The sequence below is a fragment of the Homo sapiens genome, chromosome 11 (genome assembly GCF_000001405.40).
Source record: "Homo sapiens chromosome 11, GRCh38.p14 Primary Assembly".
NCBI lineage: Eukaryota > Metazoa > Chordata > Mammalia > Primates > Hominidae > Homo > Homo sapiens.
Window position 1 is genome coordinate 58,489,103 of NC_000011.10, and position 27,922 is coordinate 58,517,024.

Sequence of the window (27,922 nt, forward strand, 5' to 3'; positions counted from 1 at the left end):
GGGGGGAAGAGTTGGAGATTAATATTAAGGGAGAAAAATAGTTAAATAATAGGATAAGAGGGACAGAGACCAATAAACGTAGAGTGAAATAAACCGTGGAGTATAACAAACTCAACTTTATGAACCTGTGTTTTTCATCCCCGCAAAGTGGAGGCCTTTGTTGAAGACTGATTCAACCTCAGTCTACCAGGTTAGCTTCATCTCTGAATTATCATTACTCTGCCTAGCATACAAAATGCAAGCAATCAATCGTGACACTTACCACCAGAAATTATCAAGAACTTACCATTTTACAACAGTGTTTGACACTCAATAAATATATGAGCACTCATGCCACATAATTATTTGAGTAAAAAGCATTTCTCTCAAAAAAAATAGATGGAATACCTTATAGAGTCCACTTCAAATGACAGACAAGAAACAACTGTTTTTTCCTCCAACAAAACTGAGTAAGTCATTCCAAGATAAATAAGACAGCAGACATGAAAGTAATACTTCAACATAGGTTCCACTCAGCCATGACAGTCCATTGAATGAAGTTTATCCATGCCATCCAGAAAGAGAAAAATCCAATAGCAAATTCTGTTGGGGTTTCCTTCATCTCTCAGGCATTTTTCTAAATTCAGGGTTTGCTTACACTACAGAAATACGTCAACAAAAGCAGCCACAGATACGTGCCTTGGCAGATATCAGTAGATCATGCAAAGTGAATGCTCTAAAACCTTTCAACTGAGAACTGATACTGCCAAAACTGGTATTTGACTGCATACACCCATTCCAACACTTACTCACCATCTTCTTCATCCAGCTAGATGCTAGAGATGGAGAGATGAACCAGACTGTTCCTAATCTCAAGAACTAATACTGTCAGATGGCAATGACCAAAGAAATGATAAGTGCTTGAAATGATGGATACCCCAATTATACTGATTTGATCATTACACATTGTATGCCTGTATCAAAATATCAAAAATATATATTGTTATGTACAATATACACATGTATATTGTATACATGTGTATTGTATACATGTGTACATTGTACAATGTACAATATAATGGGTACATAATAATTAAAAATAAAAATTTTAAAAATAAACAAAAGCTCACCCTCAAAAAAGAAAAACTAGAAGAATACAGTTTTCAAAAAAATACACTTTGAAGTCAGACAGCAAGTTTGGATGTTGAATCTGTATCTATCAGCTGTTTAGCAAGGTATTTGGTCCCTTTAAATTTTAGCTTCTACATTTAAATAATCAGAATTATAGCAGGAATTTAATACAGATTTTATAAAAATTAAATGAAACTAAAAATGCCTGACCAGAGTCAATGCTTGGCAAATGTGACCTTCTCCTGCTCTCCCCTGCTGTTGAAGAAATGGTGTGTGAATATTGAAGGATGTGCCATTGCAGATATGGAAAAGTGAAATAAAGTGTATTCTGATTGTTATGTGCTCAGAAAGCTGCAAACTTAATTGAGATTTTGCTTTCACAAGAACTTTCCTAAGGGCACTTTGACCTCCCCTATTCTTTAGGCTATGGACAGAGGGTACAGGGTAGGAATGACTATGGCAAAATAGGAATGTAATTTTGTCTGTGTCCACAAAAGGGCTGCATCTGAGCTGTGAAGACAGGAGAATGATGATCCTAACTGAAGGTGGACACCACAGTGAGGTTGGAAGCACATACATAATAGTCCTTCTGTAATTACACATGGGGCAGGGGGATGAGGAGATCAATGAATGTAAACAGATATGTGATCATGATACTTAAAATGGGGAGACAGTCACTGAAACCCATTGGAAAGAAAATGACTGACTCACAAATGGCAGGACTCAGCATAGTAAATATATAATTAAAAACCTATTGTTATGTGGTAATTCTATTTTTAGTGTTCTGAGGAACTCCCATACTGTTTCCACAAGGTTATACAAATTATCTTACATTCTCATCAACAGCGCACCATGGTTCCCTTTTTATACCCTCGCCAACACATTATCACTCATCTTTTTGATAATTATATACACAATGGAATACTATTCAACCTTAAGAGGAGGAGAAATCCTATTATTTGTGACAACCTGGATAAACCTGAAGGGCATCATGTTAAATGAAATAAGCCATGCAAATAAAGACAAATATCATATGATCACTTATATGTGGAATCTAAAAAACAAAGCTAAATTCATACAAGTAGACAGTAGAATGAAGGTTATCAGAATTTGAGGAGGGAGGGAGGTGAATGGAGAAAGGCATTGATCAAAGGGTACAAAGTTTCAGTTAAACAAGTGGAATAAGATTTAGTGAACTATTGTGCAGAATGGTGACTATAATAAACAATAATGCATTTCATATTTTAAAATTAAGTCCATTTTAAATATTTTTACCACAAAAGTAGTAAGTATGTGAGGTGCTAGATGTGTTAGCCTGATTTAATCATTCCATAGTGTAAACATATATCAAAACATCACATTTTGCCCCATAAATATATGCAATTATTATTCAATTAAAAAGATTTTAAAACATATTATTATTATTTACAGTTATACATTTGACCTTATTACTAATATAAAGTGCCTTCAACTATATCTAAAATGACTAAAATGACTAAAATCATGAAGTAAACAAACAGTTAAAAAATAAGGAATTCACAATTAAGTTTCCATTTTAGGGTTAATATTTCTTGTAACAAAAAAGCAACAGTTGAATAATACTTATCCTATAATTTAAATCACATGCTGATAGAAACTCTTATTTCCAATCTGGGTAGACTTATATGTGATATAAAGAAGTTCAAATAATTATAACTGTCTATATAGAAATAACATTATTTCTCATGCAGCAAAAGGTAGCCATAAGAAAGGGGAAGCCTGGCAGGGGTGTGAATTTCAATAGAAAAATGCAGCTACTACCAATCTCCAGCTCAGCAAGCAGGGAGTTGAGGGAATAAAGACCTCAGCATCTCTTTCCTCCTGCCTTTTGATCACCAACTGGCCAAATCCATGAAGCCACAAGGAAAGGGAGTCCAGATCATCTAGTTTATAAAGTGAGCCTCCTGTGGCATGGTGCACCAGAGAAATGGCAGAGCAGGATGTAGAGGGAAAGACAGAAATGACAAAATGACATCTGTGACTGCCTAGAGAATAAAATTCAACTTCCATATCCAACCACCAGTATGTATACTATGAGGCAGTCAATATGCTTGCTAGGGTCTAGCTTATAGCAGGTGCCTCACAAATGTATATTGAAATAATAAGCCTATCAATCAATGAATGATGGAATTCAAGTGACCATCTGGCCAAGTCAAACTAGCCCTCTCGTGGCAGAGTTATACACATTCTGGAGTGCCCTTTAAATATTTTTGTTGGATGTGGACTGAGTTAAATACTTCATGAATGAAACAAACACAGGTCGGCAGATGATCATGAACCTTCCAAGAGTTTTAGAGGTGTTTTTCTGTTTTATTTAAAAATAAATAAAAACATTCATTCCTGACTTAAAAATAATCACAGAACATTTATGTTTCTTTGGCTCCTCTCTGTTTTCCTCTCCCTCTCCCTTTCTCTCTCTTTCTCTTTCTCTTGCTGTGTCACATAGGCTGGACAGAGAAGAAATCAGAAGAAGCTCAAACCTGTGTAGAATACTGTCTGCCTTTAAGAAGAAGAAAACTCTGCCATATGCAACAACATGGATGAACCTGGAGGACATTACGCTCAGTGAAACAAGCCAATCACAGAAGGACAAATACTACTTGATTCCACTTTTATAAAGTATTTAAAATAGCCAAACTCATAGAAACAGACAGTGAATGGTGGTTGTTAGGGGCAGGGGGAGGGGGCAATGCTGAGTTGCTCGAAGGGTATAAAGTTTCCATTATGAGGCCAGTTGCAGTGGCTCACACTTGAAATCCTAGCTCTTTGGGAAGCTGAGGTGGAAGGATTGCTTTAGCCCAGGAGTTCGAGGTTACAGTGAGCTATGATAGTACCACTGCACTTCAGCCTGGGGGACAGAGTGAGATCCTGCCTCCAAAAAAAAAAAAATTCAGTTATGCAAGATCTGCTATACAACATTTTACCTATAGTTAACAATACTGTACTGTGCAGTTACAAATTTATGAAGAGGATGGATTTCATGTTGTGTTCTTATCAAAATCTTTAAAAAAGAAAAAAAGAAAAAGGAGGCTGGGGGCGGTGGCTCACACCTGTAATCCGAGCACTTTGGGAGGCCGAGGCGGGTGGATCACGAGGTCAGGAGATCGAGAACATCCTGGCTAACAGGGTGAAACCCTCTCTTTACAAAAATATAAAAATTAGCCGGGCGTGGTGGCGGGCGCCTGTAGTCCCAGCTACTTGGGAGGCTGAGGCAGGAGAATGGCGTGAACCCGGGAGGCAGAGCTTGCAGTGAGCTGAGATCGCGCCACTGCACTCCAGCCTGGGCGACAAGGCAAGACTCCGTCTCAAAAAAAAAAAAAAGAAAGAAAAAAAAAGGAAATAAAGACTTTTGCTTCTGACTTTAAAATACAGAATGTTTTTGTTTCAGTGGTTTCTCTCTCTCCTTTTTACTTGTGCTGTGTAGGTGGGACAGAGGACAGACCAGAGGCAACTTAAACCTGTTCGGAATGACTTCAGCAGGTCCTGGGATATGAAGGTCCCTCCTAAATCAGAAGAGAGTATCTTAAGTTACATATCTGTTATAAAGAACATCTCCCCGTGTCCCCAAAATATAAAGACACACTAAAAATACATATGACCCAAGGAGAGAACCCACACAAGTGTGGGTGTGATTCACAAAGTTATAAATATCACTTGCATAAAGGATGACTCAGAGAAAAATAATTTAGAAAGAGACCAAGAACATTATTTTATTAATATAATTTCTTCTGAGAGAAAAATGAGGCTGAAATATATGACACTGCTTTCCTGTTTCTCCCCAATAATGAACCCCTAAATGGGGTTGATAGGAAGAGTCTGCTATAGATCACTCCTGTTCTCAGTTACCTCTTCCATGAAATGAAAATGCTAAGAATAATATCCACCTAATAATAATATGAAAAACATTAGGTAATATTTACTGAGCTTTACTATGAGTTAGAAATCAGCCTGCAGCAATTATGTCATGAAACCTCTACAAGCCTGATGAAAAAGATACTACTGTCTTATGATTGCTACTTTAGAGATGGGAATTACAAGACTTAGAGGTATTTTAGTAATTTCTTCCAGGTTGCATCACCAGTAAATGGCAAAAACAATATTCAAAACCAAGAAGTCTGATTTCAGAAGCCACAGCCTAAATACCAGGATAAATATCTCTTGATTAAATAAGATAAAGCATGTAATAGTAAGCACTCCATATATGAAAGTGACTACTATATTTCATCTAAGTCCTGCTTCTATGCATTCTACACTATTATCCCATGCTAGTCCACACGTGGAATTTCTTTCTTGTGTTAGTATTTATTTCAGTCTGCAGGTTCTTTCCATCTCTGCTGATAGGAAGGATCAAAATTCACTTAGAGAAGATTTTTCAATTCCTAAGAAGACTTAGCATCTCTTCAGCATGCTCTGTGAATTTCAAGGCTCTTGATTGAAGCTTCTTATCCTCTATGCATCCATGTGCTCATTAAATTCTGAAACAAGGCTCATGAACCAAAAGAAAAACGGTTAAGAACCACAGCTCTGGCTCTGATGACTGAAGCATGACTTCTGTCTCTATTTATGAGGAGTTGGGGTTTGGCACTTTTCTTCCTACTTTGAGCTTTCTGTGTTCAATGCCTAATACCACTTAGATTTTCCTTCTGTCAAAGCCCTACGGAATATTGGTACCATCACATGAGTTTTAAAAAAATTCTATGTTGTTGAAAAGTCTAAAAGTTCAGAAATAATACTTAAAACATCCCCATCTGAGATTTAAGTGTTCAGTAGGCTATTAAAGATGCTGAGAAGTACTGTAGTAATGTAACAGCAAGCTGTTTAACTTACCTGCTTATGGAAAGCTTTTTCATATGTAACCCTGTTAACTCCCCATAGCATTTTGCTTGGGGAAAAAAAAAAGTAGCATTAGACAGAAGTGTGTAATCCATGAAATTCCTGGATTGTGTCCCACTGAATACAATGCATCTCAGAATTACACTCTTTGTCCATTTCATGCCAGTTTTCAGGACAGCACATATACAATTTTCCCATTTTCATAATTCTCTCTCATTAGCTTGAGTGTTCCATGAGGATACATTTTTGTCATGTTTACCTTTAAAATACCATCACACTGTCTAGAATTTATTAGTTATAAATAAACACTTCTTGAATAAATGAATTACTCAGAACCTTTTGTTTGTTTCATTGGTGGTGAATAGAGTAAACAACCGTTCCAATTTGCCCAGAATTAAGAAATTTTCTGAGATTTGGGGCTTTCAGTGAGAAAACAGATTGTTCCAGGCAAACTAGGACAAATTGGTCATGCTATGCGGTGGTGATTTTTTATTTTGTTGATTTTTGCTTTTAATTATCATATTTGTCCACTCTGTGTGTGTGTCCAGATTTTAGCTAAACACTAGCCATGAATTAGTGTGTTTACTTCTCAAAACAGCCTCAGGAAATATGTATGATTTCGTCTCCATTTCACAGATGAAGAAATCAAGGCAAAATTTTCATGCCTTGGCCACAGATACCCAGCCTTACCCTGCTGTCTGGTTCTAGAGTCTGTGCCCTCCAAAATGAATTCTGCAGGTACAGCAAAGAGCATAAGGTCACGAAATTCATCTTTGAAAATAAGAGCTCAGTAATTCACATAGAAAATAATGTGGACAAGCACAATCCATTCCCTGCTGGGTGAGATAGAATGTGAGAGAAAGAAGTCTGGAAAGCCATAATCTTAACATTAATCCAAGATGCGAGTGAATTTGAATTTGAGCTTTTAATATGTTATATACAGGCCAAGCAAGCTGAGAGCTATTTTTAGCTCTAAGTTATGAAATACAATCACATGGACAGGTGGCCTACATTTTCAGTTTTATATTTGGTGAGGAGTTTTGCAGTCAAAGTGAGAATGCCATTGCACCGACCAGGTTTGGAAAAGGCAGCTGGAGTCCTACAGATTCTGAGCATGCTGAGCAGGACAGCTAGGTGGTGGTGTGGAGTGGGAGATAGAAAATCTGGAGCCTAGACTCAACACCACCAGTCTATCTATATGACATGGGAAAAAACATTTGAGATTTCTTTTTTTTTTTTTGCCTTAGTTTTCTCATCTGAAAAAAGGTAGAACATGATGGGGAGGTAAGAATAGAGTATAAAGGGTTTGTAGGCCAGCAAAAGAGTGAATCGGTATCCTGGTTCTATCACTTAGCATCTGTATCTGAGCCTTAGTTTTACCATCTATAAAATGGGAAATCTGATTCATAAATCACAGGTTATCATTTAGTAGAAAATGATGACACTTCTTCATCTGTTTAATCCTTGATAAGTCACTTCACATATTTGGGCCTTGGTTTTATCAACTATAAAACTAGGATAATAACCTAAATGTTAACAGGGTAATTATGAGAAACAACAAAGGTGAAAATGCCCACCAGAGCTCACAGCACACACAAAACCATCAGGAAGTATTTGAGGAGGGGACAGCTTCTAAGGCTCTTTACATCTCTAGGAAATGTGAATTTTGTGCACACTAGCCACTGTTTTCTGCTTACTTCAAGAAACAAGTCTAAAGATTTAGGATCTTATCTCTGATGTTCTTAGCAACACAAATAGCAATCTTAAAGAAGGTAAAACATTATTTGGCCATCAGAAATTATCATAGAATTAAGAGTGGATGAGGACAGCAAAAGAAACAAATAGAGTAAAAAGGGCAACTTACAGAATGGGAGAAAATATTTGCAAACTATGCATCCAACAAAGGTCTAATATCCAGAATCTATAAGGGACTCAAATTAACAAGCAAAAAACAAACAGCCTCCATTAAAAAGTGGGCAAAAGACACAAACAGTTTTCAAAAGAAAACATACAGTGAACAAGCATATGAAAGATGCTTAAAATCACTGATCATTAGAGAAATGAAAATCAAAACCACAATGAGATACCATCTCACACCAGTCAGAATGGCTATTACTAAAAAGTCAAAAAATAACAGATGCTTGTGAGGTTGCAGAGAAAAGAGAATGCTTATACACTGTTGGGGGGAACATAAATTAGTTCAGCAATTGTGGAAAACAGTGTGGCAATTTCTCAAATAACTTAAAACAGAATTCTTATTTGACCCAGCAATCCTATTACTGGGGATATGCCAGGAGGAATATAAATAGATCTGTCATAAAGACACATATACGCATATGTTCATTGCAGCACTATTCACAAGAGCAAAGACATGGAATCAACCTAAATGCCTATCAACAGTAGACTGGATAAAGAAAATGTGACACATATAACCTATGGGATAATATGCAATCATAAAAAGAAACAAGATCATGTTCTTTGCAGCAACATGGATGGAGCTGGGGGCCATTATCCTGAGTGAACTAACACAGGAACAGAAAACCAAATATCACATGTTCTCACTTGTGAGAGCTAAACATTTGAACACAAAGAATGGAACAAAAGACACCAGGGCCTACTTGAGGGTGAAGGGTGAGAAGGAGGAAGAGGGCTGAAAAACTACTTATCAGGTACTATGCTTATTACCTGGGTGACGAAATAATTTGTACACCAAACCCCCATGACACACAATTTACCTATATAACACACCTGCACATGTACCACTGAACTTAATAAAATAAAGTAAAACAAAGTAACTATTTCATACAGGGAAAAAACAGCAAATGAAGAGATCTCTCAGATTAGATTCATTGGGAAATAGACTCTGAGACTGAGATCTGTGTGCAGATGGCTCTCCAGGAAGGACTCTCAGGAACAGCATCTGTAAGGGAGAGATGGCAGCAGAATTAGAGAGAGGGAGAAATTGTGCTGCAATGCAGTCTCAATAAAGGCCTCAGCCAATCCTTTAGGGTGCTTGGGAGCTGAGATGGCTCTTGGGAGCTGTGTCAAGGAAACAGGACAAGCAGGGGCAGGCCTTCATACTACTCACTGGCCAATCTTGGATGACACTTCTACAGCTGTTTAATCTTCACCTGGAGCCATAACCTCAGGGGAGGTGGCTCCCATTGACTGAAGGAAATTCTTCGAAGGATTTCAGCTAGGAGATCCAGGTAGCACACAATCACATCCACTATCATAGACACTATTGTTTACATAAGATGCGCTTGGAATTGAAGAGAGAAATCTGACGAGCAGCCAACGAGGGACCTAAAAAGAAGTGGTTGTTGCAATTAACTTGAAAGTCAGCATACTGGCTCCTGGACACAACGTTGTCCAGCTTTAGCCAGGCTCATACATTATTCAGATAAAAAGTGACCATTATCTGAACAGAAAATCAGTAATGTGTTTATAAGGACAAACGTGTTTGTAAGAAAAATGTTTCTGACTCTATCAAAAACATTAAGCAAACTAAATGTGTGCTCATACACACAAAAGGGGTTGTGGCCGCCAGCCAGAGCAGCTGTGGTGTGTGAGGTGGTATGCAGAGTTAGAATACTGCACAAAGTCTCACTCTGTCACTTCCTGGATGTGAGAATTCAGAGACCACTTCTCCTCCCCAGGCCTCAACTTCCTAGTCAGTAACATGCAACAGGGGAACAAAAACAGCCCTAAGATCTCTTTCATCCTATGTACCAATAATTCCAGATGTTTATTACTATTGTTAGCAAGAACAAAAATAATTAAAAATGGATGCCTTGGTAGTTGCTTCATTTTCTGCTAAGTTAAATTTTGTGGCAGTGTTTCCTCTGCATTATTCATTTCCTGATAATTTTTTATAACACTTTTTGGTTTTTATTGAAATGTTGTGGACCTCTCTTTTATTATTGAGGGTGCTTTATTCCCCATACTCTTTAACATTTATAATTTTGTGAGGTCAGTGACTTCTCTCTTGTTCACTCTACTGTCCATGGAAGAGTATCTCTCACAAGCTAGAGGTATCAGTTATGTTTCATTATAGACACCAGTTCAGGCTAACTTGAAGGGAAACAAAAGAGGTAATTGAAAGGATATCAAGAGGTTTGCAGAATCAAAAGGAAACTGGGCAAAATGCAGGAACCAGGAGCACTTCAGAGGGCTAAGGAACAGAAGTCGGAAGCAAAGAACCATGTCATGTCTGGAATGGCCCCACCAACATTTCCCTGCTATAGCAAATGAGCTCCAAGCCTTGATGCTTCTTTCCATCCCTTGCAGATTCAAATTTAGGGGAGTGAGAACTTTTTGTTGGCTGAGCTTAGGACTCATGCCTGCCTCTCTATATACCTCCATGAATCTCTCTGTATAGATTTCTCTTCCTTAGGGGGCAGGGAAGGAAAGGTTATCCTTGCCTCAGCTTCCATAGACTTGTGGGTGGAGAGGGTACAGGAACTAGACACTCTTCTCCCACCAATCTATTCTCCAAGAAAGAGATCATTCTCCAAGAAAGTCACGATATTTTAAGCAGGAAAATGGATTCTGGATACACAGAATACCAATATTTGCTAGAGCAGGTGCTCAAATAATGTTTTAGGTGGATATGTGCTCATACATAAAATGCTGAAAATTTCCTCTGAAGCAAACAAGTGCTTTACTTTAACATAGGTGCATAAGGAAAGCTGTTTTAAATATTCTTCTACAGCAGTTGAGATTCTGCCTTATCTCCGACGTCTATGTGCATGATGTCCAGAACTTCTTTATTGAAGTTTGAATCTATAGCTTAAATTTGAAAACCTCAATTTGAAAGATAATATCCCTACTGTTGGGCACCAGTGTATCATTCCAAACTTATTTTCCATTACTTCTCTCCACAGATATTACACTTCAGCCAAACAGACACTATTTGTGAAATATATCTGAATAATTTCTATTTTACTGTATCTCTCTTTCTTGTCCAGAGCAAAGTTATCTTCCTCAATTCCCCACCCTAGAATCTACCCTTCAACTATTACTATAGCATTTTATATGTATCTCTTGTTGGTTTTTATTATTTTCTACACAGAATTAAAGTTACTTATGTATAGGTCTTATCTCCCCTTTAGTTTTTTTTAAATAAACTTATTGAATATAGGAGCTCTGTTGGGTCTGTTTCTAAACATTTGAAGTGTGAAATGTAACATATACAGAAAAGTTTATAACAGAAATTTAGTTATATCACTTTCTAAAATATAAGAGCTTTGTTTGATTTACCTTTTTTAATATTTTTACTGTGATATATATTTTGGTGTGTGTGTGTCTAACATATATAAATATATTTTATTTTTTATTTATACATACATGTATATATAATGTATGTATGTGTATATATAATACAAATTTTATATATACATATATATGTGTGTGTATATATATATAAAATTTGGTATTCAAAAAAAGGTGCATAAAATACGTAGGTTCATTTGGCTTTCCTTATCTACCCAGTCTCAACTTTCACCTTTCTTCTGAGCTCCCAGTTCAGGTTTCTAAGTATTGAGGCACATCCCCAGAGAGGAGACATGTTAGCATCTAAAATACAACATATTATGGGGCAAACTTCTCACCTTTTTCACCAAACTAGCACTTCTTTGATATTTCTGACCATGTCATCACAATTGTTTTTAATCAGGCAAAATCCAACAAATTCCTTTAACTGATATGGACTTCACTAATGTTGGCCCAAGGATGCAGCATATATATACATACTATATACATACATATATATATATATATATATATATATATATACACACACACACACACACACTGTACACACACACACACACACACACACACATTTTTTTTGAGATGGAGTCTAGCTCTATCGCCCAGGCTGGAGTGCAGTGGTGCGATCTCAGCTACTGCAACCTCCACCTCCCGGGTTCAAGCAATTCTCCTATCTCAGCCTCCCAAGTAGCTGGGATTACAGGCACCTGCCACCATGCCCCACTAATTTTTGTATTTTTAGTAGAGATGGGGTTTCACCATGTTGCCAGGCTGGTCTCAAACTCCTGACCTCAGGTGATCTGCTGGCCTCGCCTCCCAAAGTGCTGGGATTACAGGCAGGAGCAGCCGCGCCCAGCCTCAGCATATCTATATATATATATAGTTGTTTCTGAACTCTTTATTTCACTCCACTGTATGCCCTCACTCCAAAGCCCGCACATATTTTTGACCTAGGATCTGAAGTATGTGTTTATTATATTTGCTTGATTCATAGGTCACCTATGTTAAAGAAATAGTCCACTGTGGGCACTCAGCGAATATTGTTTAAATAAGTGAGGCTTGGGAGAAGAGGGAAGGGAACTGATATTTATTTAGTCAATGTGATTTGCTAGATGCTTTATATACCTTAACTAATTTATTACTCCCAATAGCTTTCTGGGAATTTATTGTTACCTTTTATAGATTAGGAAAGTGAAGCTTGTAGAGGGTCCAGACAGTAGATGATAGCAGCACATAAACCTAGTTTTTTTTTCAATTTCAAAGACCACAGTGTTCTTTTACTAGACCTCATAGCTTGCACACTGTAAAATTATCACTAAATTCTTATTATTATGAGTGTATTTTAAAAATAAAAGCTCTTTCAAATATAAAAAAAAATTCTAGATTCAGTTTAACAACAATTACCAAGCAAACATCAATTTCTATCACTCAGGAATAGAACAAATTAACTCCCCATGTATTCATTTCTGTTTATTCTGTTTGTATTTATTTGTGGTTCATTTTTACACAAATAAAAATAGGTGAAAAATTTGGGGAAAAAAAACAAAACTGTGCTGAACTTCAGCAGTAATCAAGATAGTACAAATTAAGACAACAATAAAAGACACTATTCTCTAACCAAACTGGTAAAATTTATAACTCCAGTAATACTAAGTACTGGCAGTAAGAACTCCCACACACTGTTCATAGAAGTAAAAATTGGCATAACTACTTTGGAAAATAGCATCACATTATTTACAAAAGTTGAAAATGAATAAACCCTACAATTCAGCAATTCTACTTCCAGGTATATTTAGCCTAGAAAAATTAATGCATTTGTGCACCAAGATACATGATCAAAATGTTCACATCAGCATAATTCATCACTACCCCAAACTGTAGATAGGCCATATAAATGAACATGAAAAAGGAGACTGGACAATTAAACTTTGTATTTTCTATTGGGTTATCTGTCTTTTTCTTACTGTTTTCCAGAAAGTTTAAAATACACACACACACATATGTGTATATATATAGACACATAAATATGCACACACATGTGTATATGCATATGTATATACAATAACTTTTTTTCCTAATTAAATATGCTACAAATATCTTATCCCTCCCCCCACACATTTTGTGAAATAATCACAGGCTAACAACTGAGAAATTCCATGTTATGAACAGGAGGGAGAATTCTCAGGCTTGGATCTAGATACCTGATAGGTGAGATCCTACAGAAATTTTTCTGTAAAAGCATGATTTCTCTATAGAGATGCAATTATTCTCAAAGGCCCAGTCTCTTCACCTTGTTTGATGACAACAAGTTTCAATTGCCTGTAAAAGTAACGGACTGAGGCATTAGTGGTTGACCCTCTTCTAATCTGAATGACCAACTTTCCTACAAGCTCCTGCCAACATGCCATGTGCAATCCCACCTCCATACCCGAGTTCAGATGGTTGCTTAGGAACTCCCCATTCAGCTCTGCTTATGTTATTACCAACAGCAACACTATAGTTCAAAAGAGGGTAGCAATTCTGAAGATGCTTTCTCACCCACTATCTCATTTAGCCTGCAAAACGCCCTAAGGAAGGTATGGCTGGTGCTATTGTCTTCACTTTGATGATAAGAAAATTGGCTCAGAGATACGTGGCTTATACCAGCTTCACCACTGGCAATTGGTAGAGTTTTGACTAGAAAGTAAGGTTGGAATCTTGGAATTCTGGGTTCCATCTACATTATTCCTTCAGAGCTTGGCTCACATCCCACATCCTCTGAGGATCTTCCCCTGCCCATAGGATTCTTTCTTGTCCCTGATGAGTTCTAATTATTATTTTCTAGACTATTCATTTGATAATGGCCACAAATGTCTTTGAACTATCATCTACCTAGACGTATGTCCTCTGTTCCACCACGTTATTTGTAAGTTGCTCCTGAAGCAGGAACAATATTGAATATCAACTGGTTTCTTCATCAACTTCACACCATGCCTTTTCTGCAGCTTGTGTCTAGTTAACATTGGCTGAGGCTGGGCTATCACTGTCGGCTGCGGCACTCAAAGAGCCAACTCTATCAAGACTGAAAACAAATATGCCCTGATCCATTCATGCTCTGTGGAATACTGGGAAAATTCCTGCTGGTAGTTACTGAACATTGAGTCATTAACCTTAAGGTGCATTACATCAGTAAACATATATGCAGGGGGCTTTACTTTGTGGAAGTAGGAATTACATCTTACAGTCTTATTTGTATTCTTCAGAGTGCCTTCCACATGGCAAGGACTCATTATGGAAGAGTGTAAGTGAGTTACACATTAAGTAAGACCTCCATTGAAATTTACTAACGTACTTGGTGACTTATTTTTTCAGAGTCTTGGTCAGGGAAGGCAAAAACTCAGTTTCACACCTCGGTTCCTCTTTTTAACAGTAGACAGGTAAGTTAACTTCTCAAAGCTTTGGTTTCCTCCACTGCAAAACTGAAGCACAAATAACTATATCATGGTGAATAAATGAAGGTAAAAGTATAAAATTTCTTTTTATACCACAAGTACTTTATAAAATATAAAAAAGGGTCAAACAAGATTTGGTTCTTTGTGAGTTTAAGCAAGTTAAACTGTAAAAATCGGGGTTTTTAATTGTGAAATGAGAGGATTGGTTTAGATTAGTTTTAAATTCTTTCAGCTTTTGGCTAAAGAGTCTATGACTCCGCAATTCCAGCTTCAATTGCCAAGGAATTTAATATTTTAATTTTCCACTCCCAATACATAAACCTCAACAAATGCTTTAATGCACAAAGGGAACATCCTATTTAGAATAATTCAATCATAATCCATTTTTGAAAGAATAATCTATCCTGATATAAATAACTGCCCTGATTTATGAATTTTCACATTCTTTTTTGAACATTTCAGGTAGGAAGTCCCTGTGCCTTTATTGCACTGCATTGAGCGGCAGGCCCTACGCACAAGGTCTCTCATTCATCAGACAATTCCTGCAGGGAGCAAGTGGGTGTTGTTATTAACCAAATGGGCATTTAGTCTCCATTTGACAGATTTCCTATGTGGAAGGGAAGAGCTCCTTGCAGTAACGTATACTCTGTGAATTGATGTCTTGCTGGCGACAGGACATCTCCTTCTGAGTAGTTTCTATAAATGAATACCCGTGTAATGTCAGCTTGAAATATGTCTGCTGTAGAGCTGGGAACTTGGAGGGCAGGAAGTTAAACAAGGAATGAAAATAAAAGCTAGGATTTGGATGGGACGAGCTTCACCTATCAGTCCTTGGACTTCCTATTTTTGCTCAGGCAGCTCAAGAGCCAAAATAAGAAGTCCAGGGAGAGCTAAGTGAAGAAAGAGCTAGTATAGAAATCTCAATGGTATGAAATACACATTCATTATGATGGGCACATTCACATACTTAATTTCATATTACCCTCACACTTTATCCTGTATATTGGGTTCAGTAAGACTAAATGACTTTCTTGAGGTCACACAATTGATAAGAACAGTTAGAATTTTCATCCAGCTTTTGATAGTACTCTTTTATACCTATTTACAGTCAGATAGAACACTTGTTTGAGGTGATTTCAACATAAAATATAAATATGTAGACATTGAGCCCTTAAATCTCAGGAGGCCCACATTTTCCTGCCTAAACTGAGGTATAGAGGCATAACAAAATATGTCCATAAGAATGATAAAATGGACTTTGGGGTCTCGATGGGGGAAGGTTGGGAGGGAGGTGAGGAATAAAAGACTATATATTGGGCACACTGCTCGGGTGATGGGCACATTAAAATCTCAGAAACCACCACTAAAGGACTTATCCATGTAACCAAAAACAACCTGTACCCCCAAAACTAATGAAATAAAAATTAAAACCATAAAAGAAATAAACATGCCCAGATACACATCTTAATATATACTGTAATGGTTATGATATATAGACTCTAGACTTTAATTTTTTTATAGAAATCTAAATGGCCTAGTGGTGAGGAAAGTTCCTGCTTGGGCTGGGCATAGAAAGAAGTTGGGAAAGAAAAAGAGGAGAAGGATAAAATGAAGTAAAGAAGGAGGAGCAGGATGAGGAGGGAAAAAAGTCAATTATATCAAGTAGGGAAAATGTGTACCTGAGATTGGAATGCACCCAGTGCTTGGATAGCTGCTTCCCAGGCTCTTCTCCAAATGCAGATACTCTTGAGCTCTGTAGATTTCAATGAGAAAGATTCCTATATGCAGTGGATCCTGGCCTGTAAAGGCTGTTCTTCCTGTGTGTTGCTGAATAGGCCTCATTGCTAAAGAAGAGGGGAGGGAGGGGGCTGAATGGGGGAGGTATAGGTTGTCTAGGCCTTGGGCTCAGAAGCTCCTGATCTTTTCAGGTGATGGCAACCATGTGCCAGAGAAAGCTATTCTCATGTTTCTCATGTTCCATAACTCCTTCTTTGCAATTTTTCCCAGAAGACTTATGATTTATCCTCCTCAGACAGAGGCTGCCCTGTACATAATGGAGCTTGATAATCTGAAAACTAAATTGACATTTTAAGCCAACTGAGTTAGCCAACCAAGATTTCTGGTTTTCATCTATAAGGTCAAAATTAATTTGTTGGGTTTTTTGGGGAGATTTTGAAATCATGATCTATTGTGGTGACTTAGATTAACTGTAGTTATAAACACCATCAAGGAGTTGATACGTGAGAAGTGAAATTAATCACCACTCCCTTCCCACACACACACATTTGCTCACACCATCTAGCACATGAAACAAGACCTGAAGGTGTACTAGCACTGTGCGTCACCGTGCTGTTCCTAAGAAGTAAATTTCCAGGCAGGCTTTTTTATTCTTGTAGCATCTAATTACAGAACACCGGAATGCAATGGAGACCCAGAGGTGAGCTGAATTATTGAAAAAGTAAAAGCAAAGACAGTCCAGAAAGCTATTATATATCTTCATAATAGATTCACCAAACTTAAGGGTGCTAAGAAATGCAAGCATTTAATTCAGAAAACAAATATATTTTTTCATAGCTCTAGGGAAAACTGCTTTTTTTCTCTAAACCTTCTGGAAGTTTTGGTAATTATGTTAGACAGAGACAAGAAACATAAAAGATAGTGTAGGCTCTCCGAAGGAAGTTGTATTTAGTCAGGTTAAAGTTGAAGTAATTCATCTATTAAAGCATTCCCATATTTCTGTATATAACAAGGTGTAATGTTTCCCCAATGATTTAGCAAAAGGGAATGGAAATTACAAAGGCACATGACTAGTGAGTAGGATAGGAATGTGGGTAGAGAAGGGAGAGTAAGGGGTTGGAAAGATTTAATCGTCAGCTACCTGACTCGATCTAGTGCCTTGTCCTTTAAATTACAACTTTCTCTCAAATATCATTTAAAATATTGAAACATCCTTTGTCTACCTCAGAAAGTCCAACTTTCAAACTCGCAGAACAAAAGAATAAAAAAGATACTGTGTGTTCAGTTGATAAAAATGAAGGTGAAATCTTTACACCAAGTTTAATAGTGAATGAAAAATTCTTACAATTAAAAACAGGATGAGGAAAATTTGGTACATTCATTTGTATGCTTCAATCTTCTGCTTTAAACCACGTCAAGAAACTAAAGCAAGAAAAGCTTAACTGTCCCATGTTGTTGTTCACTAAATATAAGATTATCTTTCTAAGTAAGACTTTCAACGTGCTGCTTTTTACATCTTCTAATAGCAGAAGTAACCGCTGTTCTTGGGGAAGAAAGAACTGAAACCAGTCAAACGTTAAAAGTCATGATGGCATTTAGGTGTGAGAGAAAGTTTATCCCTTAATTGCTTGCCTACTTCCCATTCACATTTAATATTGGGGGTAAAGTTTGTTGAGTATTTTCCAGAGAGCACTTTTCACTTCTTTGTTCCTAAGGCTGTATATCAAGGGATTCAGCATGGGAATCACCACTGTGTAAAACACAGAGGCTATTTTGTCTGTGTCCACGGACTGGCTGGAGTTGGGCTGTAAGTACATGAAGATGATTGTGCCATAGAAGATGGACAAAGCAGTGAGATGGGAAGCACAGGTGGAGAAGACTTTCTTCTGCCCTTCAGCAGAATGCATCCTCTGAATGGTGATGCATATGAAGAAGTAAGAAATAAGGATGACCAGGAGGGTGAAAAAGACGTTGAAGCCTGCCACAAAGACCACCAACTTGCTGATGCGTGTGTCAGAGCATGAGAGAGCCAGGAGTGGGGGAATGTCACAGAAGAAATGATTAATCTCATTAGAACCACAGAAGGAGAGTCTGAAGGTGCCTGCTGCATGGATAGAGGCATTGAGGAAGCCAGAGACATAGGAACCAGTAGCAAGGAGGGCACACACACCTGCTGTCATGGTGGTGGTGTAATGAAGAGGCCTACATACCGCTGCATGGCGATCATAGGCCATGGAGGCCAGGAGGTAGCACTCAACAGTGGCAAACCCCACAAAGAAGAAGAACTGAGCTGCACATCCATCGTAGGAGATGGCCTTGTCCCCTGACCGCAATGCAGCCACCGTTTTGGGGGCTACAGCTGATGAGTAACCCAAGTCTACAAGGGAGAGGTTACTGAGGAAAAAGTACATTGGAGTGTGGAGATGGGAGTCTGAGTGGATGATCACCATCATTCCCCCATTCCCAAGCAGGGTGATGAGGTAGATGAATAAAAATGCCAGGAGGAGGGGTATCTGAAGATTGGGGTCATCTGTTAATCCCAAGAGGATAAACTCTGTCACTTCTGTGCTATTCTCCATTGTGGCCAGCTTGAATTAGCCTGGTGATTAAAGAAGAGGCGTCAACAAAATTCCAATGAAAGTATGAGAAGGGAGGATGGAATGATAAAAAAGGAGAAAACTAATGTATAGAGAGAATGTACTGTGTGTAACACTCATCCTAGAACCCTCTGTTATATTATAGCTTTTAATTCATATGAGATAGGTGCTATTATGCCCATCTTACAGATAAGGAAGTTAAGGCTCAGGGAGCTGAATATTGAGCAAGATAGCCTATCTAGGGGTCAGAATCAAAGTTCACCCCTTTATATTTCTGAATCTAAAGTTCATACATTCATCTTGAATTCTTTAACACATTTACATCATATAAATACAAATTATGATGTGGATATAAGATTGTATGTATTTAATTATTAAAAATAAAAACATCCATCACTTATTGTCTTCCACATTCTACTTCCAATAATATAGCCTCACTAAAGATTTTCTAAATTTATTTTTCCTTAAAACAACACAAGTTTATTCTCTCAAAATTCTGGAGGCCAGAAGCCTCAAATCAGTTTCACTGGGCCAAAATCAAGGTGTTGGCAGGACAAGGTGGTGCCCTCAAGGTCTGTTTGATACTAAATCCAAAGATCTTAACCACAACTTTTGAAGCCTTTATAAATTAATCCCTCAACAGTAGTTCAACTGAAAGGGAGTATGGTATATGTAAATATGAGTATGTATTTATATATATTTAATATAAAACTATAAATTTGATATATACAAATGGCTTTGTGTATCTGTGTATATGCATATGTCTTTTTTCACCCCTTATCAGAAGTCTTTGCTGTAGACCCTAATTCCAGTTAAGTCCTCCTTTCTCTCCCTCCTCAAAGCACTTGAGTCTTGGCTGATTATTGCACAATTAGCTGGGCAACCACTCACTCTTCACCTAGCTCTAAGCCCCTTGGGACAGTAACTATCTTCATCCCCTCTGGTCCACTCTCCTTACCATGGCCCCTCACACATGTATGTAAATATTTGGTGAATCAAACAGAACATCAATAGGAAAGTATGGAAATATTTTTCATGCTCTTTAATCCCACAACAAACATCCTATCATCCTCTTGTCTACCAGGTTTGTGCTTTGGGCCAAAATATTAGCTTAGACTTGTCATATGAAAAATATTCAGGAGTAACAGTGAGTTTGCAGATGGTCAGGCCTGGAGACAGGTTTCTGTCCTCATTTTAGAGCATTCTTTCTCTCCTATTTTTGTTCCTCAACCTGAGGTGTTCACAGGCTTTCCCCACTCCTAGTAGCAGAGTGAGTGGGAGCAGACTCAGAAGAAGTGAGGGAGAAAATGTGAGAAGAGAGGAGGAAAAAGGAGAAAACAGGAATTAAAGGAGAAAAATGCTTCAGCTCTGCTGGACTTTAGCTTACCTTGAAGAGTAACAGCAGCAATTTGATTGGTGACACAAAAAGAAGGGGATAGTGTAGCTTGTCCTTTTTGGATGACCATCACACACACACGATGTGGCTAGTTTCATAAGAACTGGCTCAGTCAGCTTGGTACATTACTATCCAGTAATGTACTAATTGACTTTCTGACCAGCATCACTTTCTATTATATTTATCCAGCCTTTTTTAACTTGTTTTTCTTTTGACTTTTGACATGTGTGTATACTCTCAAATTTAGCAAACACAATATCCTGTAATCTATGACAGGCAGTGTTCTGATCTTACATATTTGGAAACAGAAGGATGTGGTGCCCCTCAAGGTCACATAACTGCTTAACTGTAAAATCTGTACAATTCCAGAGCCTGGTTTTTCAGCCTCAGCACTACTGACATTATGAGCTGGACAGTTCTTTGGTGCAGGGTGTGGTGGGGGAGAGGGAGTGCTGTCCTGTGCATTGTAAGATATTCAGCAGTTTCCCTGGCCTCTCTCTAATCACTAGATTCCAGTAACACCACCACCTCCCATTTGTAACAGTCAAAAATGTCTCCAGACGTGGCCAAATGTCCCCTGAAGGGTAACATTCCCCTGATTGAGAACCACTGTTCTAGAGCTTTTAAAAAACAGTGGTTCTAAAGTTTATAAAACTCTTTTTGCATTCACTTCTTAATTTAATTATTGCATGACTAGATAGAGAGAGAGAGAGATAGCAGATATAGACATGAAGAAACCGAGGCTCAGTGAGGTGAAGTGACTGGTTTAAAGTCTAGAACTCTGGCCAAATATTGCTGCTTATTGGTAGAGGGATCCCAGGAAGGGATAACTGCTTGCTAAGTACGTGGTCCTTTGACCAAAGAGATACCAGTCCTCCCATATTGTAAACCAACCTTTTCCTAGACACAAGGTAGGATGAAAACCTGGAAAAATTCCAAGAATAAAATGCAGCTGACTTAGGGTGGATTCTGAATTATTTTCCAAAATACCTTCTGAAATGCTTATTAGATCAATCTCCTTGGTTAATATTGACCACAGGAGTCTATTCACTTAAGCTGTACGTTCAGTTTTTAAAAGCCATTACACCCACCCCCCCGCCCCCGCCATATTGAACTGTCCCTGACTGCCATGTTCCTCTACCGGCAATTAATATTCAAGGTACTTTCTGTGTTCCGTTAATGGGCAACCCTTCCGTTTATGCATTGCAGTCTCTGTTAATAAATGTGTTGAGATCCAGAGCAGCAAGGAGAAATCTGGAGTCAGTGCAGAGAGAAAAGGCCTCATTTACCCAGCACCAAGCCTGGGAGGCTGCAAGGCCTGAATCCAAATCCTGCTGCTGCTGCTGTATCTCCTCCCACTCAAGTCCTGTAAAACCCAGGCTTTTCTGCATGGACCTAAAATAAATATCGGAAGGAGTCTTGAAAGAGAAAAAATATTTTTAAAATATCTACGGTTGAATACTGAAATATCTAAGGTTAAAATATTAAGTCAAAACCTGAAAAAGCATTAAAATTTAAGGAATTATTATTGTTATAAAGAGAGAAGGAGAAGTCTAAGCCATTAAGATAGTTTGGAAATAAAAAGTTCCATCAAAATTGCTTCTAAAGGGGTTTGAAGCATCACCCCCAATCATCACACCCCCATTTGGGGAGTTCTAAAGAAGATTCTCAATGGAATAAATTCCATAAGGGAAGAGACAAGGCCTATATTGTTTGTCACTCTTTTGCGCTTTATTATCCACTACTTAGACTCAAGGCAGCCACATGGTAGACTCAACTATTTGTTAAGTGGATGAGGTAATTAGAATCTCAGCAGTTGAGTTAGAATAAGAGCTTTAATGCTTACTTGCTTTGGGACTGTAGGCAAGTCAATTTTCCTTTATAGACAGAAGATAAAGTGAGATAAAATATAAGAAAATTCAGCCAGTGTGGGCCTCTAGCAGGTGCTCCATAGAAGCTAATTAATCAATCTCTTTATTAAACTGTAGGCCAATCGTATGAAGTTATTTCCCAGGTTTTATTAACACCAGTTGGTAGCAACACCCCATCTAGCAATGACTATGGCAATGGCTGTCTAAGTAAACGTGACTCCGAATTACTTATGGGAAACTTCTGTCTCTATTCTTGTGAAATGTAGCAGAGGAGGTTGGGGGAAATTGAATTAAGAGTCTTTTTATATACCTACTTCTGAGTCTCTTTCTTTTAGACGAACCCATTATTTCTACCTACAGTGCGAAGAATACTGCTTTTTAAAAAGATCAGGGAAATCATACCTATGTCCTTGGGAATTATGAGATCTCAATTCAGAACTGCTTCAACACTGGACTTTTTGAAGTCTGAAAAAGAAAAGAAAAGAAGAGCTGTTGGTCTCTAAGGACCTTGGATTTCAAATAGTAAGAGATTTCCTGAGGCTATGTGATAAAAGTGTAAAGACAGTTCAGCTGCCGCTGCAGTTTGCTTGAGACTGTAAGTGAGCCATATCAAACTGTGTGAAAAGGCTGATATCAGCTAGAAGCTAGTGTCTATGTAGATTTGGGAGCCTCTGAAGGGGGGTTCCCTAAGGTCTCAATTCCAATCCAGGGCTCAGCAACATACAAACAAGCAATCAAAACACCACTTTCCTGAGGGAACTGAAACATTATTATGATATGGAGGTGCCTCAAAGATCCCTTAGGGGCCACAGGGGAGTCCTGGTTCTCCTAGTCACAGGCTAAGATTATTGATGAGCAAATTCTATCAAAAAATGCTTTCAAAGGAGCTTGAGGATCCAGCCACTGCACAATCAGCCCACAGATTTCCTGTGAGTATTGGGAGTTGGCTCTTTATCTAAGACTAAATGGGGAGAAATTTTCAAAATGTCAGATTATAAATGATAAATTGCATCAGAATCTCCATTTTCCCAAACCCAGCTCTGTCTACAGAACTCAGAGTTTCAAAGAGCTCTGTGAATCAAAACACTTCCATGAACTTTTTTCCCAGTCAACTTGGTTTTAAATGAATTTTAACATGGAGCCTACAAGAAGCAAAGGATTTCTTTATTTCAGCTCTTGATACATTTATATGTATATAATATATATTTATATAATATATAATATAGCTTCCTATGTTTCAAGCCCTTCATTCAGTATATATTTGTATGTGTTATTTCACTTAATGTTCATATAACTCTATGAGAAATATATATTTTTTTCAATTTTACAGATGTGAAAACTTCTGTACATACCTAGCACTTAGATCTTTTTCTAATATTATTCTCTAATAAAAGAAACCAGGGCTCCTTCGAGAAATGGCTGGTTCTAGCACTGGAGCAGGGAATATACCAGAGAAGCCTGGAGCATCTTGCAATTCCAGAAAGTGAGGAAATGCTCAAGCCTGTCTGACCCAAATTCTATATATTTATACTCTGTGCTCTACTGCTTCTCTTGGGAATAAATGTGGAAAAGCAGAGGTGCTCTCAGAATCTACAAAACAATATTTCTCTTAGATTCTCACAAATGCATGTTCCACTACAGTCAGTTACAAAAGTAGAGCTTATTTACTCACTTTTTCTTTGCTCTCATGAAAACATTTCCAAGACAAAGCCCCCTGTTAGAATAATTATTTTTAACAAAAGAAGACATACAAAGTGGCCAAGCAAGTGGCAAGCTAGGTGATAGAAGTCCAAGGATATTTTTGCATACTCTTGGAATTTTGTAGCATCTAATCACCTGACCCACATGTCCAACTCTGAAGACTTAGGTTTCTTCCTTATTATTTATTTGACCAATAAAACAACCAAGGAAAAAACTAGAGAAAGAAAGAGGGAAAAACGGGATAAGACAGATAAAGAGAGAAAGGAAAGAAAAGAAAGAGGGGAGGGAAGGGGAGAGAAGAGGAAGAAAGGGAGAGGAACAAGATGAGGAAAGAAGAGAAAACTTCACCTGTAGCATCAAGACTCTAACCACTGAGACAATCTAGCCTATATATCTGGCTTTATAAAATAATTTAGTACTCTTCTTTATCAGTGTTTAATATTCTAAAAAATTAAATAGATAAAAATGAAGACTATCAACATGGTGAAGTGGGGTGGTTCTTGGTTTTGGCAAGTAAGAGGCCTAGAATTAGCCACTTATGAATGGATAATAGATGAATCATTAATCTTTTTGAACCTCATCATTTCTTAATGGCACCCAATATATCCTCTTTCTTTTCCCTCCAAAGACTCTTAATTCCTGGGAAATACTTCTGCTTTTCCACTTTGATGCCTCCAGTGTCTTCACTGTTTGGTCTCCTCACAAGATCAGGTTGACTCTTCACCTCCAAACAGTTACAGCTTGGGGTTTTAAAAAAACTAAAAGGCAGAAAAGGGCCAATTCTGACTTTTGGATTACTTCAAGGCCAGATACCAGGATCTGTCCATCCATATTTGAGTTAATGCTGCCATCTTGAGGCTATCCCAAGCTTTTCACCTAAGGAGCCGTTCCCAGCGGTGGGGCTGGCAAAATGAAGACTTGTCTTTCTTGCCGCAATGACAAGTGAGTTCATACAGGAAAAATGCTTTGGAATTACAGGAAGAATCAAGAAACTACCCATCTGCCTAAAAGGTTAATTTCATGGCCACATAGAATGGTAGCACCTCTTAGGACCCTGGAGATCTCCTACGTGTTATGGTACACCAGGCACCGCAGCCTACAGGTGAGACTTACAGTCCTGGAGCCAAATGCATGGGTTCAAATCCCAGCTCTCCCTTCTAGTTCCTGGAGGGACTCTTGCAAGTCACTTAGTCTCTCCATTCCTCTATTTCTCATTATGGGACTGTTGAGAATTAAAGTTAATCAACATAAAGTACAAATAAACTTTGGAGATACTGGGGGTTTGGTTTCAGACTACTCCAATAAAATGAATATCACGATAGAGCAAGTCACACAATTTTTTTTTTGCTTCCTAGTGCATATAAAAGTTATGTTTACACTATACTGGGTCTACTAGCATTATGTCCAAAAAATGTACATAATTTAAAATACTTTATTGCTAAAAAATGATGATGATCACCTGAGCCTTCAGTGAGTTGTAATTTTTTCTTTTGCCGGTGAGGGGCCTTGATGGCTGCTGACTGATCAGGATGATGCTTGCTGAAGGTTGAGGTGGTTGTGGCAATCTCCTAAAATAAACCAACAGTGAAGATTGCTGCATCGATTGACTGACTTTCTTTTCTTTTTTTTTTTTTTGAGATGGAGTCTCTCTCTGTTGCCCAGACTGTAGTGCAGTGGCGCAATCTTGACTCACTGCAACCTCCACCTCCCAGGTTCAAGATATTCTCATACTTCAGCCCCCTGAGTAGCTGGGATTACCGGCAAACGCCACCAGGCCTGGCTAGTTTTTGTATTTTTAGTAGAGATGGGGTTTCACCATGTTTGCCAGACTTGCCAGGCTGGTCTGGAACTACTGACCTCAAGTGATCCACCCACCTCGGCCTCCCAAAGTGCTGGGATTACAAGCATGAGCCATCGTGCCTGGCTGATTGACTTTCTTTCATGAAAAATTCCTCTGTAGCATGAACTGTTGTTGATAGCATTTGACCTACAGTAGAACTTCTTTCAAAATTGTATTAAGTCCTCTCAAACCTTCCCAGTGCTTTATCAACTAACTTTATGGAATACTTGAAATCCTTTGTTGTCATTTCAACAATGTTCACAGCCTCTTCCCCCAGAGTAGATTCTATCTCAAGAAACCACTTTATTTTCTCATTCATAAGAAGCATTTCCTCATCTGTTCAAGTTTTGTCATGAGATTGCAGCAGTTCAGTCACATCTTTAGGCTTTACTTCTAATTCTAGTTCTCTTGCTATTTCCACCACATCTGCAGTTACTCCCTCCACTGAGGTCTTGAATCCTTCAAAGTCATCCAAGAGAGTTGAAATCAATTTCTTCCAAACTCTTGTTAATGTTAATTACATGAATTCATGAGTCACAAAAGTTTTTAGTGGTATCTAGAATGGTGAATCCTTCCAGAGGTTTTCAATTTACTTCACTAGATCCATCAGAGGAATCACAATCTATTGCAGTTATAGCCTTACGAAATGTATTTTCTAAACAATAGGACTTGAAAGTCAAAATTACTCCTTGAACCATGGGCTGCAGAATGGATATTGTATTACCAGGCATGAAAACCACATTCATCTCCTTGTCCATCTCCATAAAAGCTTTGAGTGACCAGGTACATTTGTGAATGAGCAGTAATATTTTGAAAAAAATATTTTTTCTAAGTAGTAGGTCTCAATAGTGCGCTTAAAATATTCAATAAACCATGCTATAATCTAGTCTTTTCCGTTTATAGAGCACACGCAGAGTAGATTTAGCATAATTCTTAAGGGTCTTAGAATTTGCAAAATGATAAATGAACATTGGCTTCAATTTAAACTTACCAGCTTCATTAGCCCCTAACAATAGAGTCAGCCTGTTTGTGGAAGCTTTGAAGCCAGGCATCAATTTCTCCTTCCTAGCTATGAAAGTCCTAGATGGCATTTCTTTCAATATAACGGTGTTTTGTTTGCATTAACAATTTATCGTTAGGCTGGGCATGGTGGCTTATGCCTGTAATTCCAGCATTTTGGGATGCTGAGGTAGGCGGGTCACCTGAGGTTAGGAGTTTGAGACCAGCCTGGGCAACATGGTGAAACCCCATCCCTTTCCAAAAAAAAATTAAAAAAGGAAAAGAAAAATTAGCAGGGTGTGGTAATCCCAGCTACTCAGGAGGCTGAGGCATGAGAATCACTTGAATCCAGGAGGCAAAGGCTTCAGTGAGCCGAGATCTTACTATGGCACTCCAGCCTGGGTGGCAGAGGGAGACCTTGTCTCAAAAAAAATATACATATATATATAGTTTAGTGTAGCGACTTCCATCAGTTATCTTAGCTAAATCTTCTGGATAACTTGATGTAGCTTCTACATTAGCACTTGCTGCTTCACTTTGCACTTTTATGTTCTAAAGATGGCTTCTTTACTTAAACTTCATGAACCAATCTCTGCTAGCTTCCAATTTTTCTTCTGCAGCTTCCTCAACTTCCTCAGCTTTCACATAATTGAAGAGAGTTAGGGCCTTGCTGTATTAGGCTTTGCCTTAAGGAAATGTTGTGGCTGGTTTGATCTTCTATCCAGAACACTAATATTTTCTCTGAATCAGCAATAAGGATATTTCACTTTATTATCATTCAGGTCTTCACTGGAGTAGCACTTTTAATTTCCTTCAACAACTTTTTCTTTGCTTTCTCAACTGGGACAACTGTTTGACACAAAAAGCCTAGCTTTTGCCCTGTCTCAGCTTTTGCCCTGTCTCAGCTTTTGCCCTGTCTCAGCTTTTGACATGCCTTCCTCACTAAGTTTAATCATTTCTAGCTTTTGATTTAAAGTGAGAGATATGCAACTCTTCCTTTCTATTGAACATTCAGACTTCATGGTAGGGTTATTAATTGGCCTAATTTCAATGCTTCATGACTTGCAGACTTATTTCTATCCATCAATTTCTCA

The 27,922-nt window shown here is 38.0% G+C and overlaps 1 protein-coding gene and 1 long non-coding RNA gene across 5 annotated transcripts; both read right to left on the reverse strand.

Annotated features, from left to right (window-relative positions):
• Window positions 1-4,833: 4,833 nt before the first annotated feature.
• LOC105369313 (uncharacterized) lies at window positions 4,834-25,623 on the reverse strand. 4 transcript variants are annotated; one of them, XR_007062673.1, is made up of 5 exons: window positions 25,449-25,623; window positions 22,691-22,753; window positions 16,367-16,440; window positions 9,071-9,288; window positions 4,834-8,902 (listed from the first exon to the last, which is right to left on the reverse strand). It is a non-coding gene; the product is annotated as an uncharacterized LOC105369313 (long non-coding RNA). The 4 variants fall into 4 exon arrangements; XR_007062675.1 differs by lacking the exons at window positions 16,367-16,440; window positions 22,691-22,753; window positions 25,449-25,623 and adding exons at window positions 13,458-13,575; window positions 13,795-14,581; XR_007062676.1 differs by lacking the exons at window positions 16,367-16,440; window positions 22,691-22,753; window positions 25,449-25,623 and adding an exon at window positions 13,795-14,581.
• Window positions 17,705-19,003, reverse strand: OR5B21 (olfactory receptor family 5 subfamily B member 21). Its single transcript, NM_001005218.3, has one exon. It carries the CDS (start codon window positions 19,001-19,003, stop codon window positions 18,074-18,076), a length of 930 nt encoding a protein of 309 aa, NP_001005218.1. The 3' UTR covers window positions 17,705-18,073.
• Window positions 25,624-27,922: the final 2,299 nt, after the last annotated feature.

Coding starts and splice junctions, on each gene's coding strand:
- OR5B21 (NM_001005218.3), bottom strand. CDS start 19,003: ATGGAGAATAGCACAGAAGTGACAGAGTTTATCCTCTTGGGATTAACA.